Genomic DNA, 18,669 nt, shown 5'->3' with positions numbered 1-18,669 from the left:
GATAGATCTGTAAACTAAAAGCTAACACAGTTTTTTTTTTCATTATAGTTGAAACTTCTGAGTATTTAAGGAATGAAGTCAGAAAGTGGTATTTTCAGATGTTTCCGAGGAAATGAAAGTTCCATCATTGTAATATTTTGCCCTTTTATCCATTATCTGTCATTTACTGGCTGAGTTTGGGCTCAGTTCTCCAACTGCCCCAGCATAATTAACTGTGTAGGTCATCTAAGGAATTGTATTGCAGGCAGCAAAATAGTTTGAGTCTCATTTTTACTACTCCAGTTTTATCTTGAGTAATTTTGCAAGAGTAAGTGCTTGAAATATAGAGGGCACTATAATTGAGCAGCATTGAGTCTGTGCGTGCCAGCAGTAAGTGAAAGCAAGGATCATTTTCAGCCTCACTGCTATCCTTATCTCATTTGCGTACAGTAAATATCTCAAAGTTGCTAGAATAAAGGTCTTGTGCGATACCTGGGTGCTGTTCTTGAATACTGAATGCATGAGACCTTCTTTAACCAAGAGAACTAATTGAAGACACTTTTCCACCCTTCTCCTTAGGGATCTGACAAACAATCGAATAGGATGTCTGAATGCAGACATATTTCGAGGACTCACCAATCTGGTTCGGCTGTAAGTATATCTTTTCTTTCCCATTAAAAGATAAGGAAGCATTTGAGCCAGTACCTAAATATGTATGAAACTTATGTATTTAATTATAAGTAGCAACTGTAGGGGTTATAGAAGCCATAGGGGACAAGGAGCTCACAATTTAATCATGGGGATGTAATCTCCTCAGAATATAATGCTACCTTACCACACCACACACGGACACATGTGCATGTACACCACACACACACACCAAATAACACAGTGTAGTACATGCAACAGAGAGCACGTTCATGCTGAGCAGTATGATCAAAAGCTTTGCTAGTCTGGGAAAATTTCTAGGAAATAGTAAAATGTGAGCTGATGGCCCAGAAGATTTGCAGAGATCTGGATAGTGAGAAAGGAAAAGAAGCCAAACTAATGATACATGAAGGTGGGAATGAGAACAAGGCCATTTGTCAAGGGGAAGGCTGGTGGCCTTGGAGGAAAATAAACATTTGAATTGTGCCTCTGACCATGTGATCTGGGGTGAATTGTTTGACTTTTCTGAACTTTTCTGTTTTTCGTCTACAAAGTAGGATTAATAGTAGCTCAAAGTTATAATGATTATTTAAAATTTAAGTTATCTATATTTGTTTATTATAATTTATATAGAATATAAATGTAGAAGAACTTTGTATAAGCCATCAAGTATGTTTATATCTTTTTTAAAAAAATAAAGAAGTTTTAAGCTAGGAACAGTGGCTCACGCCTGTAATCCCAGCACTTTGCGAGGCCGAGGCAGACAGATCAGTTGAGGTCACGAGTTTGAGACCAGCCTGGCTAACATGGTAAAACCCCATCTCTACTAAAAATACAAAAATTAGCTGGGCGTGGTGGCACATGCCTGTAGTCCCAGCTACTCGGGAGGCTGAGTCACGAGAATTGCTTGAACCCAGGAGGCAGACGTTGCAGAGGTTGCAGTGAGCCAAGATTACGCCACTGCACTCCAGCTGTGGGTGACAGAGCAAGACTCTGTCTCAAAAAAATAAAAAAAAAAGTAATAAAGAAGTTTTGTTTGGGAGTAATTAGACATAAGGCTGATTACTTATAATACAGCTTTATTTTGAAATGTATGAAAAGCAGATAGGGGCTTAGAACTGACTAAACAATAGGAAGCCACTGAAAGACATTTATGTTGGAAAATGGCATGAAATCATGTTTTAGAGACAAGTAGTCTGGGAATAGGGTTCCGCATGAAATGCTAGATGTGGAGTGGAAGGTCAGTGTTAAGGGTTGTCTACTTGTGGTTCTTTCTCCCTGTAGCTTTTTAGAATGTTTCTTGTATTTCAAGTTACCTTTGAAAAACCAATTAGGGGCTTAAATGAAGAGATTCTTTCATCTATACAGTAAGGGAAGAGATTTCAAATCAATTATTAGAGTAGAACAGAATGTTCGTGCTGCATAGGAAATTTGTAGCTGTTTTCAGTGTGTCCTTTTGTTTTCAGGGAAAGGTATATGGCCTGATTTTTGTTTTTAAATAAAAGACTGATTTGGTGTGCAGCTTTACTCATGACTTAAGTTAGTTAAATTAACTGCTTCTTAACTCCTTTGTAATTGCCCTGCAAACATTTCTATCTCAGTGCTTTTTAAAATCTCTTCTTGAGCTTTTTGTATTTTTACTTTTTCTTTCTTTTTTTTTTTTTTTTTGAGATGGAGTCTCGCTCTGTCGCCCAGGCTGGAGTGCAGTGGCACAATCTCGGCTCACTGCAACCTCCACCTCCCGGGTTCACGCCATTCTCTGCCTCAGCCTTGCGAGTAGCTGGGATTACAGGTGCCCGCCACCACGCCCGGCTAATTTTTTTTTTGTATTTTTAGTAGAGATGGGGTTTTGCCATCTTGGCCAGGCTGGTCTTAGACTCCTGACCTCGTGATCCACTCAACCCAGACTCCCAAAGTGCTGGGATTACAGGCGTGAGCCACCACGCCTGGCTGTATTTTTACTTTAGAGGACTGCGTTAGAATTGACAAAACCATACATCTGTGAAGTAGGCTTTTGTTATGTTTTTGGACAGCTATGACTGAAGTAATGAAAAACAAAATAGTAAAGTGGAGCCTACTATTTTGTTGATTTTAGTTTTAGATTGATTTCTAGCTTTGGCCTAGGGATTTGACACATCAGCAAATGTTCTTTAGGCAAAAGAGCTGGGTGAGACAGAGCTTCTGTTAGGGCAGGTTGCTATTTTCTTAGTATTTCCTTTGCCTTCTTCGTCAAGAACTAAAATGTTTGGTAGGTTTAGAACTTGGGTTGTCTCTTACATTTTTACCAGTTATCTTATACCTGTTATGAGAATGTATACATCATGGAACACAATGAACATCATCCAAGTAAAACATGAAAACATAAAAATAATATTGCCAAGCTTCCCACTTTGAGATTTGATTGAGATGATCTTATAGTTCATGTAATAATAGATTATAGTGGCCTTTAAATTTGATTTATTTGTATTTGTATATAGATTTCTGGGGTACAGGTGCAGTTTTGTTACAGGCATAGATTGCATGGTGGTCAAGTCAGGGCTTTTAGGTATCCATCACCTGAATCATGTACATTATACCCATTAATCTCATCATCCACCCTCTTCCTACCCCCTCATGCATGTGATTTTCCACTGTCTATCATTCCTATTGTGGATTTTCTAAATGGAACAGTCTGTGGCATATATAGCAGTATACCTGGCCTACATCTTTTAAATACCTTTTAAAGACAACGTGGCAATTAAGGAAACTTCTTACCATTCAACATTGTGTTGCAGTGACATTGCTTATCGTAATTTGGGTTGGCACAGGTCTAGAGCTGTGGATCAGGAAACTTTAAATGTTTTGCATGGGCTGCTACTGTCCCCAGATTTTTGAGCTCTTGAGCCAGGCCATATGCCAGTTGTGAAGGATGATAACAGCTCATATTTCAGATATGGAGAATAGCATTTTCTCAGTCCAATGAGTAGAAAAGAGAATATGATTAGGAATGGAGCATGTAATACATTTCTTAGATTAGGAATCAGAGATCTTCCTCTTACTGTTTCCCACCTGAAAGAGAAGGTATACAAAAAGAAGGAATTCTAGAGTGGATCACTGTTCTAGCCGTTTCCTCTGGTAACTCTTCAAATGGGGACCTCAAACTTCCTTGGCTAAGGGATGATGAGACCTTGGCGGACAGCCTAGGCATTCTCAGCCAGATTTCTCATCATTTTTGATCAAGTCTTGGCTTTGGAAATTTAATAATTTTTTTTTTTTTTAGAAAAAACAACCCTTTCTTTAAGTGTGTCAGAGGCCTTAGTAGACATGGGTGGAGTGGGGGTGTAAAGTTGATTAATTCTATATATTGATCTCTGCCTTTGCTGATGGAGAAGTTCTCTTGAACTGTCTCAGAGAAGTATAGTCCTACTTGCAAAGGTTCTCACTCTGTCCCACTGTAACAGTGGACATAACTGGCAGACCAAACGGGGAGCCAATAATGGACTTCTGTGAAGCCTGTGTCCTTCACTTAGGAAGTTAATTTGCAGAGAAATGTCAGGAGATCTGCAGACCAAAATCTGTCAGGAGATCTACAGATCAAAATTTTTTCAAATTGTTCTTTATGATCAATCTAATACCTGTATTTTTTCCTCAAGAGTTATACCTTTAATATTTCCCTATCAGAAATATATGTATTTATAAGAACTTCCCTTTACAATTTCCTTTATATGAAAACATGTGTATATATTTGTATATAAATACATACATACAACTTATATATATATGTTTGTATAAAGAACTTCCTTTATACAAAAAAGGTGGTTGTTACTGAGTAATAAAATCATATGAAGGAAAAATTAGATTTCCTTTCATCATTTCAGTCACATCATCCTGAGATAACTTGTATTAATGATCTGGTGTATATATATATATATATATATTTTTTTTTTTTTTTTCTGTTATATCCAGAAATGCATAGACACACACACAGAGCTTTAAAAATGCTCTGTACCTGGCAACTCAGTTTAAAAATAATTTACCAACATATTAACATGTTTTTAATAGAGTACATGTTGATTTAGTTCATGCTTGTCAGTGGCTACAGAATATTCTAGTTATAGAACAGATTGTAACTTAGTCATTCCTCTGTAGATGGAGATTGCATTTAATTGCATTTCCCCTTCCTTTACCAAATCTGCCCTGATAAAGGCTTCTGTATAATAGATGATGTATCATATACACATGCAGCTCTTAGGAATTCAAATGTTATCTATTTAGCATAAAATAAGTAAATAAAGTCAAATTAAGTGAGAGTAAGAAACAACAATGGCTGGGCACAGTGGCTCACGCCCGTAATCCCAGCACTTTGGAGGCTGAGGCAAGCGGATCACTTGAGGTCAGGAGTTCGAGACCAGCCTGGCTAACATGATGAAACCTCGTCCCTACTAAAAATACAAAAATTAGCCAGGCCTGGTGGCATGTACCTGTAATCCCAGCTACTCCGGAGGCTGAGGCATGAGAATCACTTGAACCTGGGAGGCAGAGATTGCAGTGAGCCACTGTACTCCATCCACTGCTCTCCAGCCTGGGCAACAGAGTGAGACTTGTCTCAAAAAAAAAAAAAAGAAGCATAAAGGATGGGGGTGGGTGGGTAACTTACCTGCTGCTCCATTCTATGAGCTTATTGTGATACAGGAGCAGTGACTTTGTTCTGGTCATTCTCAACTCCCTCTTAGTTTTATTTATTTATGTATTTATTTAGTGAGCATCTCAGAGCTAGACTGCGATTGTAATGTTGTAAAATATGTGTCATTGCTTATGTCCCCCCAAATCCAAGCTAATTACTTCACTTGTGTTCAGCCATACAAATGGCAATCTGTTCCAACACTCAAGGAAAAATTGGTTTGCGTTGGGATTTACTAAGAAGATGGCATGTCCTTCTCTAATGTGATCCCTTCCTTTGCGATTTCCAAGGGAAATATCTAATAATATGCATATTAGAACCTAGTGGTTGCTGTAAGATGCAATTCATTTTTTTTTTTTTTTGAGACAGAGTTTCACTCTGTTACCCAGGCTGGAGTGCAGTGGTACCATCTTGGTTCACTGTCACCTCCGCTTAGCCTTAGGCTTAAGGTGTCACCACCTTAGCCTCCCAAGTAGCAGGGACTATAGGCACACACCATCACACCTGGCTAATTTTTGTATTTTTAGTAGAGACGGGGTTTCACCTGTTGGCCAGGCTGGTCTCAAACTTCTCACCACAGGCAATCTGCCCACCTTGGCCTCCCAAAGTGCTGGATTACAAGTGTGGGCCACTGCACCTGGCCCAATTCTTTGAAGTCCTACATTTGTAGGATAGATATTTATTTCTAACTTACTGTTATGGAATCTTGCAAACATTTAAAGAAAATCGGAGACAATTGTACATATAAGGAATGTGTGTGTACCCATTACCCTGTCTTAGCACTTCAGTTTTACCTACCATGTCTTGTCTTGTAGCATTCATTATTTTAAACATATTTCAGTAATCATATATTTAAAATGGGATAGCTTCATAACATACACAGTTGTTGATTGTAATTGCATCTAAGTTACTTTCTTAAAAAAAATTTTTTTTTTTTTTGAGACGGGGTCTCACTCTGTTGCTCAGGTTGGAGTGCAGTGCTGCAGTCCTGGCTCACTGCAGCCTCTGCCTTCCGGGTTCAAGTCATTCTCGTGTCTCAGCTTCCTGAGTAGCTGGGATGACAAGCACACACCACCACACCCAGCTAATTTTGTAGTTTTAGTAGAGACGGAGTTTCACCATTTTGGCCAGGCTGGTCTCAAACTCCCGACCTCAGGTGATCCACCCACCTCAGCCCTCCCAAATTGCTGAGATTATAGGCGTGAGCCACTGCACCCGGCCAAAATGATTTTTATCTTTTTTATTTTCTTAAAATGTTATTGTGATGTATACTGCCATGGGCACACCTTTCTCACAATTCACATTTGGTATCTGCTCTGATAGGCCAAAAATAAAAGACTTCCCTTTCCTCCTTTCAATTTGCAAATACTCTTTTCTGTTTAAGTTCCTAGGTACTTATTCTGTGAGAATCACTGAATCCAGCCTTTTTCTTACAAAAAAATTATAAAATATAAAAACCAATCCAGTGTTGTTCTTGCTGAAGGTCATTGGAGGTTAATTTGTAAAGTGTTGGCCATTGTGTGATATCAGGTCTTCCCATCCAGGAATATGTTGCTACAGGTGTCCCAGGAACAGCTGACCTCTTCCTGATCAGTTCTCTTCTCCAACTCCACTTGGAAATGCATCTGCCCAATGGTCACTCTCTCTCACATGTGAAGAATTCAGCCCAGATTCCAGAGGAGAAGTTGCAGGACTAAGTTGCAGGACTCTGGATTTCTATCCCATCCTCTGCTGTGTTCCACCCCCACCTCATTTCTAGAACTTTAGGTCTAAATTCTGACTGTTCTTGATACCATAACAGGCATAGAACAGATCTTGTGGAGGTTGAGCATATGCGATTTTTCCAGAGTGCTCAGTCTCATTTTAGCATTAGAAGTCCCCTGAAGTTGAGGTGTACATCCTGAGCAATGGGCAATTATTGAGCACCATTTATATTCCAGCATGTTACTGGCTGTACACGGAAGTGCGTACACACACAGGCCGTCCTCCCCCGAGCTCTAGAGCTCATCGTCCGGTATGAAAGAAATAATTCGGTCAAATCGTTTTGGGTGTAACAAACCACTCACATTGTAGAATAGGGGTTTCTGAGTTCCATTCATTCAAAACGCTGCGAGACTCAGGTTATGTATTGAAGCCTGCTAACACAGGATAGACTAGAGAACTGATGTGCCCAAGAGCAACGTGGAATTATATCCCCAGTCTCTCATTTTAAGCCCTGAACTCATCCCGCTCCCCTCATATTTTCAGTCATGTTTAGTATGCTACTGCTGCTGATCATTGAGGCCATCCTTTTCCTTTTGTTATTTTTTAAAGTTTTAATTATTTATTTTCTATTTGTTTTTACATTTTTATTTGCTGCTTTCTTAAATTAGATGTGAGTGAACCCTTCGAGTAATTCTAGTGGGAATTCAGTTAGGGTACCTTTTAGGTTCACCTGATATTTGACAGAAAAATTCTTATCTAGCTTTAATATGCTTTTAATAATTGTATTTACTACTTTGTGTAAGGTGAAGCATAATTTTCTTCTTCACCCTTGGAGGAAGTGTTTTCTAATCGCTCCCTCTTTATAAGCATTGAAACTTTCATGAGTTCTTTACAACATTATTTAATGACTGTAGGATGCTTTAGAAAATATGAAATAGGATAAAATGATAGATAATTGTATTTTTAAAAGTGAAATTGTTTTCTGTCTTTCAGAAACCTTTCGGGGAATTTGTTTTCTTCATTATCTCAAGGAACTTTTGATTATCTTGCGTCATTACGGTCTTTGTAAGTAAGAATTTTTTTCTCTCTTTTTTTTTTTGATTTTCATGTCTTTTTGAAAATTAAAAACATTTATTATGTGGTTTCAGAGACTTTGTGAGGACAATCTTGTCAAGGTAGAGTCTCACTTGAGAGCTTGCATTCACATTGAAAAACATACAGTAACCCTGAATAATGTGGTTTAGACTAGGACAACTGTTTTCTCCTTAGGATACCATATTACTCTAATCTATATTTAGAGTAAGTAAACTGGTAATTGTTTCTTTTTGACTTTTTTTTCAAATCATAAAATGTTGCCTTGTTTGACTAATTAAATTTCCAAAGTATAAAATAACCCTTCCTATGAAGAATTTGTAAGAATATTTTATACTTTAGGAATTTAATTTTATCCTGTAAACCCCCCCCCCCACTTAAAATCAAACTTACAGCTTATTACTGATGTTTCTAGGGATATTCATTTAGAATGCTTACTTTATGAAATCAGTTTAAGTTCTGATTTACAGTTTCTTGTAGCTTTAGAATTGGTTGATTTTTTTTCCCCCAGTTTTGTTAACTGAGAGATTGCATAGAAGTTATTTTGAAAGTAACTATTTTCAGATAAACCTTAACATATCTCAGACTATAAATTATCCTAAGCTTATTGGAATTACAGTTAAATATAATGTTGTTCAGGTTTTCATTGTGAGTAATTTATGGGATTGAGTGTCTTTCTTCCAGGGAAAGAGTTTTTCTCTCCTGATTCCTCTCTTCCCTGTACTCTGACTTCTCCTCTCATCTCTGTTCCTTTCCTGCACCCGTCATTTAAATCTCATTTAGGAGTCTTCCTTGGGATGTAGCTAATAGCTATTAGGAGCCCCAACCAGCTCCTCACCATCATAGCAGGCATGTGTGTGTACTTCTGGAGTCACTTTGGCTCACACTCCATACTCCATCTTGTTTCTCTTTTTGGCACCCTTACCATTCTTATCCAGAAGACTACCTTTGAGCAGAAACATCTCCTTTTGGCTTATTTAGTGGGCTCAGGTCAACCATTTCTGCAAAGATTAGGAAATAAAAAAGACAAAAGCTAGTCTGGCTTTTGAGACCCTGGGTAGCAGGAACGTGGGAAGTATTTTCATCCCCCAAATGGGGGAAATTGCCAGTGTTTTTACCTGGTAGTGTTAGGAACTGACCATAAAGTGGTGCTTAGGAATTAGGAGTCTGTCACGTCCTCCTTCTGGTATTATTTAAATTTATTTTCTGTGCTGTATTACATCAGATCCTTTTTCTTTTTTCCTTATTCTTTTTTGCCAAAACTACTGAGGTGAACCCTGAGCCAACACTCTAGCTGTGTTAGAAGCACACACACTTAAACATTATTGCACTTTGTTGATTTATTTTTATAGAACATGTTGCATTCTATTTTAGTTATGTTTACATTTTGATTCTTCTATTATATGATGCCCTCCATGTTGGCATGAACAGGGTCCTGCATTCATTGTTATTAGCTGGACTTAGCAAATGTGTGGCACATGAATAGTCAGTGCTTAGTAATTATAGTATTTAAGAGATTTTGTGCTTATATCTCAGCTTTGTTTATCCTTTCTTCTTCTTGCACCCAAGTGCCAAATTATAAAGCTTTTTGCCTCATATAAAGACATTTCTTTACTATCTTTTATATCAAAGCTGAGGTATTCTTATTTGTATGCTTTTGATTTGTTGGGTCTTTATCTCTTACATTTGTAAATATCTATAGTGTCACTTGGCACATAGCAGGAGGGGTCAGAAACAGTCCCTACCCTAGGGAAGTTCACAGTCTAGTTAGACATACAGAATATAGCCATAAAACAATCTGTATTGCTTTAGGTTGCTGTTTGATTGCCAGAATCAGCAGAGTTGGTAGGCATTTAGGCCAAGAATGTGGCAATGATGGTGGAAAATTGGGGATGGCTTCAAGATTCAATATTAATGCCACACACTGCATGATAAATGGGTAGAAGTTCGATAGACAAAAAGGAATGGGATTTGGTATTCCAGAACTCTGGTGTTCAGTGGCTTGTTGCATAGAAGAGGGATATCTGCCAAAGAGTCTTTGTTTGCCTACAAAATTTCATCCAAAGCAGAAACCCGGGATCAGCAAGAACAGTGTTGGGGTCCAACACTCTGCAATTCAGCTCCTTGGAGAGAAACTGTAGCTAGTTGATGAAATGTACTTTAGGCATGGTATGGGTGAACAGTATTGTGCTTGCCACCAGAAATGTAACCCAATATAAAACAAAAGTGCTATTTAATTTTATTCACTATAATCTCTAAGTTGTATTTGCATGTTACAGGGAATTCCAGACTGAGTATCTTTTGTGTGACTGTAACATACTGTGGATGCATCGCTGGGTAAAGGAGAAGAACATCACGGTACGGGATACCAGGTGTGTTTATCCTAAGTCACTGCAGGCCCAACCAGTCACAGGCGTGAAGCAGGAGCTGTTGACATGCGGTAAGGGAGAAATCCAAACTGAGAAAGCATTTACCATATTTTGACTTGCTACCATGTTTTTCTTGACAAATTGTAAGATTCTCTTTATACTTGGACAGAACTAGTATGCAGCCAGTAATCATTATGGATTTGATAATATTTAGTTTATGCCAACGATTAAGCCAGCTAGATTAAATGACCTTTTTTTTTTCAGTTGTCTTTAAGGTAGCTGTTTTTAGGTTCACATCAGCTTTCTTTATGCAAACCAATTTCAAAGAATAGATTTTCAGATTTTCCATCAGTTGGCAACTCGTGAATTTGTCTGTAGTAACACAATCTCAGGATGCCCACATCCTGTGTGTGGGTGGGAATGTGAACGATACAGCCTTTTTGAAGCAACATGTTTCAGTGTTCTTAAAAGACTGATACAGGCAGGGCGCGGTGGCTCACACCTGTAATCCCAGTGGATCACTTGAGGTCAGGAGTTTGAGACTAGCCTGGCTAACATGGTGAAACCCTGTCTCTACTAAAAATACAAAAATTAGCTGAGCATGGTGGCAGGTGACTGTAATTTCAGCTACTCGAGAGGCTGAGGCAGGAGAATTGCTTAAACCCAGGAGGTGGAGGTTTCAGTGAGCCGAGATCGTGCCATTGCACTACAGCCTGGGTGACAAAAGTGAAACTCCATCTCAAAAAAAAAATAACTGATACAGTTAGATCTAGTAATTCTGTATCTTATAGTTAATTCTTAGGAAATGATCAGCTTTGTATGTAAATCTTCAGACTCTGTGTATAAGCATATCCTAAATTCTCAAAAATAGGGGATTGGTTTAATTACTTGTGACATATCCATTCAGTGAATGCAGCTATTGAAAATCATGATTTTGAAGAATATCTGGGGAAAGGAGGGAAATAACATATTTGCCACGTGTTAAATGAAAAAGAAACAAAAACAAAAACAAAAAACAAAAAAGCACACCTACACACACAACCCCATAAAACAAAAACAGTCCTAAAGTGATGGGGGGAGGTCCCAGTTTAGTCTTTGTTTGGAAATAAGCTATCATATTTTTTTCCTTTTCTCTTTATTATTATTGTTGTATCACAAGTAAAATATGCTCACTGAATGAAAATTAAGATTTGTGCAAATAAATAAAAGAAGCAGAGAAACAAAGACCATGTTTATGTTCATGACTGAAAATAGCTAGTGTTAAGACCTTTTTGTATCATCTTCTACGACTTTTTTCTATTTTTTAACCAAAATATCGTTACACTCTAATGATATTTTATAACCTTTTTTAAGTTGAATTAATGTAAATGTATTTTCTCATTTAAAATAGATGCATATCAATTCATTGTATAGATGAAGCCATAGTTTAACAACTTCTCTATTACAGCATATTTAGCTCGTTAATAATTTCTTGCTTCATAAATAATGGAAGGACTAATTTCTTTGTATGCATTTTTGCATATTTTCTATTATTCTTTAGGATACAGTACTACTAAAAGTAGAATTGTCATGTTAGAAAAATGGACTACATATTTAGAAGTCTTTTAATGAACTAGTGTCATTTGTGTACATTTTTGTACATATATTTAAAATATTTTATTTTTCTGACTGAAAGGAAAAAACTGATTAAAAACTGTTTACGGTATATGGGATCTTAACATACTGTTTTTTTCTGTTTTCTTTAAATGTTCTGATTTTTCTGGAGTGAACATGCATTAGTTTTACAGCCAAAAACTCGTGTTGTAATCAAAGGTATTGCAGTCTCCAAAGTGTATTTTAAAGTTGTAAATATCAACATTTACTTATCACTGATGCCATTTTCTAGAGCACAGCTTGTTCTTTTAGTTCATTTCTGTAATCATCTGATACTCTTAGGATGCCACTGAAGAGGAATAACTCTAAATGTCAGAACTGGTTATGAAATTGTTTCTTTTTAATTTTGTTTTAATCTGTTATCACTAAACTCAGTAGCAGCCTGGTTGATACTAGCAGTAGCATGCTGATTATTGAGGAATATTTGTTGTTCTGTTTTTATTATTTTACCTAGAATTTCTGTAACTTTTAATTATGGTGTTTGGAAATTATATTTGTTTACTGAATCTTTGTTTGATTGTCTCTAGACCCTCCGCTTGAATTGCCGTCTTTCTACATGACTCCATCTCATCGCCAAGTTGTGTTTGAAGGAGACAGCCTTCCTTTCCAGTGCATGGCTTCATATATTGATCAGGACATGCAAGTGTTGTGGTATCAGGATGGGAGAATAGTTGAAACCGATGAATCGCAAGGTATTTTTGTTGAAAAGAACATGATTCACAACTGCTCCTTGATTGCAAGGTAAACTTTTTTTTTTTTTTTGAATGAAGAATTGTGCCTGTGTATTTTATTTATCCTTTTGGAGGTGTAATGTTTAGTGGAATTTGAATTAATATTTCATCTTCTTGTATTTAAAAATGCAAACATCTGGCATTTCCTTTTCCTGGTTCTTATTCATCTTCTAAAATTAAATAGCCATCTTTTCATCCAGTTTTTAAAGAAAAGACTTAATTTCAAAGAAACTTTAGAAATTGAAGACTTTTTTAAAGTTTTTGGAGGAAAAATGTAAACTTTTAGTGCTAAACCTAATTTCCAACTATTTCCTGCTGCTAAGCTTACATTTTCTCTTTTAGTAATCACCTGATATTGACTCTAGTCAAAATATTGACTGATACAATATTTTAAGGTACTTATCTTCTCCACCTACTAGTATAAAAGAATATAACATCTGAACTATCAACCTCATAATTGGTGTGAATACCAAAATAATTAAAAGTAAAAATACTTTATAAAGTATAATAGACTAAGAATATATATGATATTATCACTTACCAGATATTTTACTTTGGTAAAATTTTTACCTTTAGACATTGAGTTTTCCACTCCCTTTCTTCTTTCTTTCCACCTACCTAGAACTTGGCTTATATTTTTATTTCAGTAGAGCTGCAGTTTTCAGACTCTCTGCCAGGTCCTCCTAGGGTAACATCACAGCAAACTCACAGGGGTGCTATGAAAGATTACTGAAAAACTAAAGGTTCTGAGTTGACATTCAAATCTCAGGGGTTCTCTGAGTTGAGATTCAAGACTTATGCAGTTGGCTATTTTATAATTTTTCTTGAGATTTCATGTCTACTAGAAGCATATTTTCATTTATATCTTCCAACATTTAGAGTAGATGCTTTAAATCCTTTCCTGCTAATTCCAACATGTGGGCAATCTTGTGGTTATTGCTACTGGCTGCTTTTCTTTTAAATATGGTTCATATTTTCTTCTTTTTAAAAAAGTATTGTTTATAGGTCTGACAGTTTTGGATTATAGACTGGACGTTATGAATGATTTGCTGTGGAGGAGAAGCTGGCTAGGTACAGTCTATGAACCAAATCTGGCCCACGGAGCCCATAAACTAAGAATGTTATTTATATTTTTAAATGGTTACATTTCAGATGGTTACATAATTCCCTGCATAATATTCTTAATATTGCTTCGTAGCCAGCAAAGCCTAAAATATGTACTGTCTGGCCATTGAAGAAAAAGTCTGCCGACCTCTGACTCTGGATTCTGTTATATTCTCCTAAAGTGAGCTAACTTTTGTTTGGTCAGGCAGTTAGCTTGGCTGAACTAACTCCTAGCTCTGTCCCCTCTGGTAGGCAGAAGCTAAAGTCTTGGTTTCTGCTCTCTACCTGCAAGTGTAGTTCAGGATCAGTAAGAGATCTTGGTGCATTTTATACATAGAAGTTTGGGCTTCCAGCCTGACTTCTTTCTACCTCTGTCTTCTGATTTTTTAAGCCAATAAGATTGTGAGTTTCTATTTGAGTGAGGCCTACCCTTGGGCAAAAGCCATTAAAAAAAAATCTAGTTACTTCCCAGTGCCAAAAACCCTTGTTTCTCATATCAACTCCTGTTCAGTTATTGCCTGCTTTTGATCAATCTTCATATGTTCAAATGATTGTCATTTTATAATTTGTCAGGGGCATATAATTGTTAGCTGTGGGAAGGGTGATTTAATATGAGCTACTCAGTGATTGCTAGAAGCAGAATTCCCTTATTAGGAGATACGATTAATCGTTCGAAATGATATATTCATTGTTACACTAGTTTTACTGTAGCGATAATTTCACATGCCTATACATATGTCAGAATTCATCACATTGTACACTAAGCAGTTTATTGTATAAACAGACAATAATTGATGTATAATTCAATAGTAAAGTTTTAAAAGTAGAACCATTTTCTATGTAGAAGAGCTTTGATTAATTTAGAACTCTAAATTATTTGACTATAAAATAAGTAGATTTACTGTATAAATCTATTTCTGCAAGTCATGCTTAAATTTAAATTATGTTTAGCAATGCAAAAAAAGTTAATTCTAAGGATAACAAGTTAACCTAACATTTTTTTTGGTAGGGACATGTGACTAAAGTGAAAATCTTTCATGTGAAGCCTGAGACAGTTCTTTACCTAGATTTTGCCCCAGAATAATAAAAGAAAGAAATATGTGGTTATTGCATTGGTTAATCTGAGATTCCTATTGATTTTTCATTGATCTCCCCATGTCTTTGATTCTTCATCAGTAAGAAACAGCATTTTTCTTAGGAGTTGAAATTGAAGCTACTTCTTTCTTTTTAAATCTCCAAATCTGCTGCCTTGAGGATTCCTGGAAATGTTATTCCAGTGATTGGTTTTAGATATTAAAAGTATTGCTAAAAGTTATCCAGGAAACATTTGCAGATTTGGAGATTGAAGGGGAAAAAAGTAGTAAGAAAACTAGAAACACTCCATTATAGTGTTTGGGATGCTGGACTTTGGACAGTTACTGTGGTACAAAGCAAGTGCTACGTGTAAAAGTCATTGTAGAACAAGAAATGAGCATCATTGTCTGATCCGAATCTGAGGTTAGATTAATTTTAGAGTGTCTAGCAGGCACACATATCTCATTAAGAAGTAGTTGTTATTTAAGAATACAATAAAAATTTTATTTCAAATTTATGTGTGTTACTTTTTTCAAATGGCTACTAAAGTATTTGAATATAGATAGACATTTGGGGGATTTAATTTAGTAATAGAAACCACCATCGGTATTTTTTTGAGCTGGGGTGGGGCACCATGACAAAGTTACTATGTCAGTGAAGTAAGACAGTGTTTGGGAACTTCTGGATTAAGGAATGATTTTCATTGACGAAATATACTTCTTCCTAGTTCAGTAAAGCCTTATAAAGTAGAATGTTGGACAAAGTTAAATTTAATGTCAAACTCTTTTTTGTGTCACTCTATTTTAAAAATATTAATTACAGTATGTTTATTTTTCTAACTTAGTAAAGACAACATTTTCTTTGATGATTCATAATATAAAAGTGTCTTGAGCCTTTATTAGAACATTTGCTGTAGCCGTCAATGATTTAGGAGATCGGACAAATGTGTATTTACTTTAAGACATAATTTTGTAAGTTAATTAAAATGATACATACTTTCTGTCTAATTATTTCTTATCATTTGTGTCTACATAACAGCAACGCATACTGGGTCCTGTGGGGGAAATAAAGGTTAATTGAAGGCTCTGACATTTGCTCCTTAATTAATAGGTTTTATATTAGAGAATTATGATTTCATCTTGGAAATTGGATTTACTGACAGCCATTTAGAAACACAGCTGTTTTATGAATTGAAATATACCTTAACACAGAAACCTTTTGTGAAAGTATTAATTGGTAATTTACTAAATCTTTTTAGGGAGGTAACTGGTTTGTTTCTAGTGTAACCCTTTATATTTTACCTTAAACATTTTCTTAATTATGTAAATTCGTAATAATCTTCTTTTTTCATGTTTGAATATTTTCTTCAGAATCTGTGAGAAGGGAGATGTGACTTGGAAACTTCTCTAAGTTTTGCTAAAGAATGTACGACGATGTTTCTGCCTTTGGGCTTGCCATTCCTGTTCTTTTTTTGTGTGTATGAAACAGAGACTTGCTCTGTCACCCAGGCTGGAGTGCAGTGGTGCTCTCTTGGCTCACTGCAACCTCCGCCTCCTGGGTTCAAGCCATCCTCCAGCCTCACTCAGCCTCCCAAGCAGCTGGGATTACAAGTGTCTGCCACAACACCCGGCTAACTTTTAAAAATATTTTTAGTGTAGACAGGGTTTCGCCAGGCTGATCTTGAAGGCTGGGCTGGTCTTGAACTCCTGCCACCCGCCTCTGTCTCCCAGAGTGCTGGGATTACTTGCCATTCCTGTTCTGTAAAGTGTTCTGCTCTCCCTATTTCTGCAAGGAGAATTCTCATGCGTCGTATAGCATTGCATTTGATTCATATGTCTCTTATTGCCCTGATTGTGTATTTTAAAGATCTCTTTCCTTTTTTGCCTTGAGATTGAAGGATTTAAAGGAAGGAATCATTTTTTAAATTCATTTTTATATAGCAAGTGCTTACCCCACAATATGCATTCAAAAATATTTGCTAAATTAATGATTGAGACCCATTATTGTCTCCTTTTTTGCCTAATTATATTTTCTCTCTTTTTAAAATCTTTCTTTATGCAGTGCCCTAACCATTTCTAATATTCAGGCTGGATCTACTGGAAATTGGGGCTGTCATGTCCAGACCAAACGTGGGAATAATACGAGGACTGTGGATATTGTGGTATTAGAGAGTTCTGCACAGTACTGTCCTCCAGAGAGGGTGGTAAACAACAAAGGTGACTTCAGGTCAGTGTTGTGGAAAATACGGGGAAAAGTTTAATTTGTCCCAGATCCTTCTGTTGTCTAAGACACATTATTGGTTTCCTGTCCTGAGTAACAAAATTTGAGAACTGCACATGTCTGAGGACTACCCTTTAGAATAATGATTTCAGAATCACATATGGAGATGAACAAAAGGGGTGCTTGAACTTTATCTCAGACCTGTTGATTGAAGAATCTCTGAAAGTAGAGTCATTTTTAACAAATGGTTTTGTTGTGTAAGAGCCATTGCCTTAGGGAAACATTGGAGATATTCTGGTAAAAGAGTACAAAATTCAAACAGGTTAAGTAAGGTATTTTCTGTTTTTTTTCCCCCCAGTGGCTCTTTTATAGATGAACCTTGGAAGGTTTTATATTGCTAAGGTACTTTTCACTACTGGCAGTTCAGTAGGCATCAGAATTAGAAGAAACACCTATCTAATTTTCTCCCCTTGTTCAGTTCTTCTGGAAATCAAGCAAGAAGGACTTTGGGAAATGAAAGCTGTTGGGTAGCCTGAAACTTGGGGAGCCATGGAATCCCAGGTGGGGTTTGTTAATCTAAGCAAAGGGAGTTATTTATTTATTTTTTTATTTTAGTAGAAAGTTTAGGATTTGCAAGAGATGACAGCTTTTACCTTAAACTCTCTTTACTTTCAAAGGTGCTTTAAGACATCTTTAAATATCTTATTTACTTGATCTTATTTATGTTCAGGGATTTAAAAAATGAGTTTATAGTTGATATGAACAAAGGGAAATATGTTATTCTTTGAAGCAGCATAAAGATTGTTTATTACCCAGTTTGCATTGTCTCTAATGGGTTCAGTTGTTACCTCCTGTCTCTAACCTCAGTGTTTCAAGGGTGGGAAAACCCTTTGGTGTTAATCTTTTAAATCCAAAGTAAAGAAGCAATAATAACATCTTTATCTCAGCTAGTTTGCCATTGCTCTTTTTAAAAAAGTTATTCTTGACATCAATATATGGAAATCAACATTTATTATTGCCAATGGATAAGTCTTTTATGTAGATTAGGTATTGATCTATAATATTTATAGTACATGCTTTTAAGTGAAATATATGATATTTGGTAATTTTGTTACATTCAACATCTTTTATCAAATAATCCTAATATGATATTTACTATTTATGGTAGATTTTCTATATTCTCATAGTTTTGAGTGCTTTACATTTTTAAAAATAGAGCAATTAAATGTTTATAGATCAATGAATTATTTGTCTTTGACACTCCTTAAGATATTATGCAATTAAATTCCCACTGCATTAATAAGATTTAGTTTAGTGTTGCTTGATCTATTTATGTGGTTTTTGTAATGAATTCTGTTTTGGTGTGACTGATACTGTCATTTAGTGGTTCCTGTGATGAGCATCCATGGTAACTTGTATTAAACATGTTGAATTT

At 36.2% G+C, this 18,669-nt stretch overlaps 1 protein-coding gene across 6 annotated transcripts in view; it reads left to right on the top strand.

Moving 5' to 3' along the window:
- The window catches only part of ADGRA3 (adhesion G protein-coupled receptor A3), a 128,691-nt gene that overhangs the window by 60,571 nt on the left and 49,451 nt on the right, over positions 1-18,669 (top strand). For 5 of the 6 annotated variants that reach the window (XR_007096381.1, NM_145290.4, XM_047449703.1 and 2 more), the window contains exons 4-8: positions 559-630; positions 7,985-8,056; positions 10,363-10,523; positions 12,633-12,846; positions 17,076-17,240. Coding sequence is in view for 5 of the 6 variants with exons in the window: in NM_145290.4 (NP_660333.2) it covers positions 559-630; positions 7,985-8,056; positions 10,363-10,523; positions 12,633-12,846; positions 17,076-17,240 (684 nt within the window). In the remaining variant the exon portion in view is untranslated. Of the gene's footprint in view, positions 1-558; positions 631-7,984; positions 8,057-10,362; positions 10,524-12,360; positions 12,417-12,632; positions 12,847-17,075; positions 17,241-18,669 lie in introns of those variants that run through there. The other variant, XM_011513811.3, reaches the window with a different exon arrangement.

Source organism: Homo sapiens, chromosome 4 (assembly GCF_000001405.40).
Source record: "Homo sapiens chromosome 4, GRCh38.p14 Primary Assembly".
NCBI classification, from domain to species: domain Eukaryota; kingdom Metazoa; phylum Chordata; class Mammalia; order Primates; family Hominidae; genus Homo; species Homo sapiens.
Note: the sequence above shows the minus strand (reverse complement) of the source record. Positions and strands in the feature narration are given on the sequence as shown.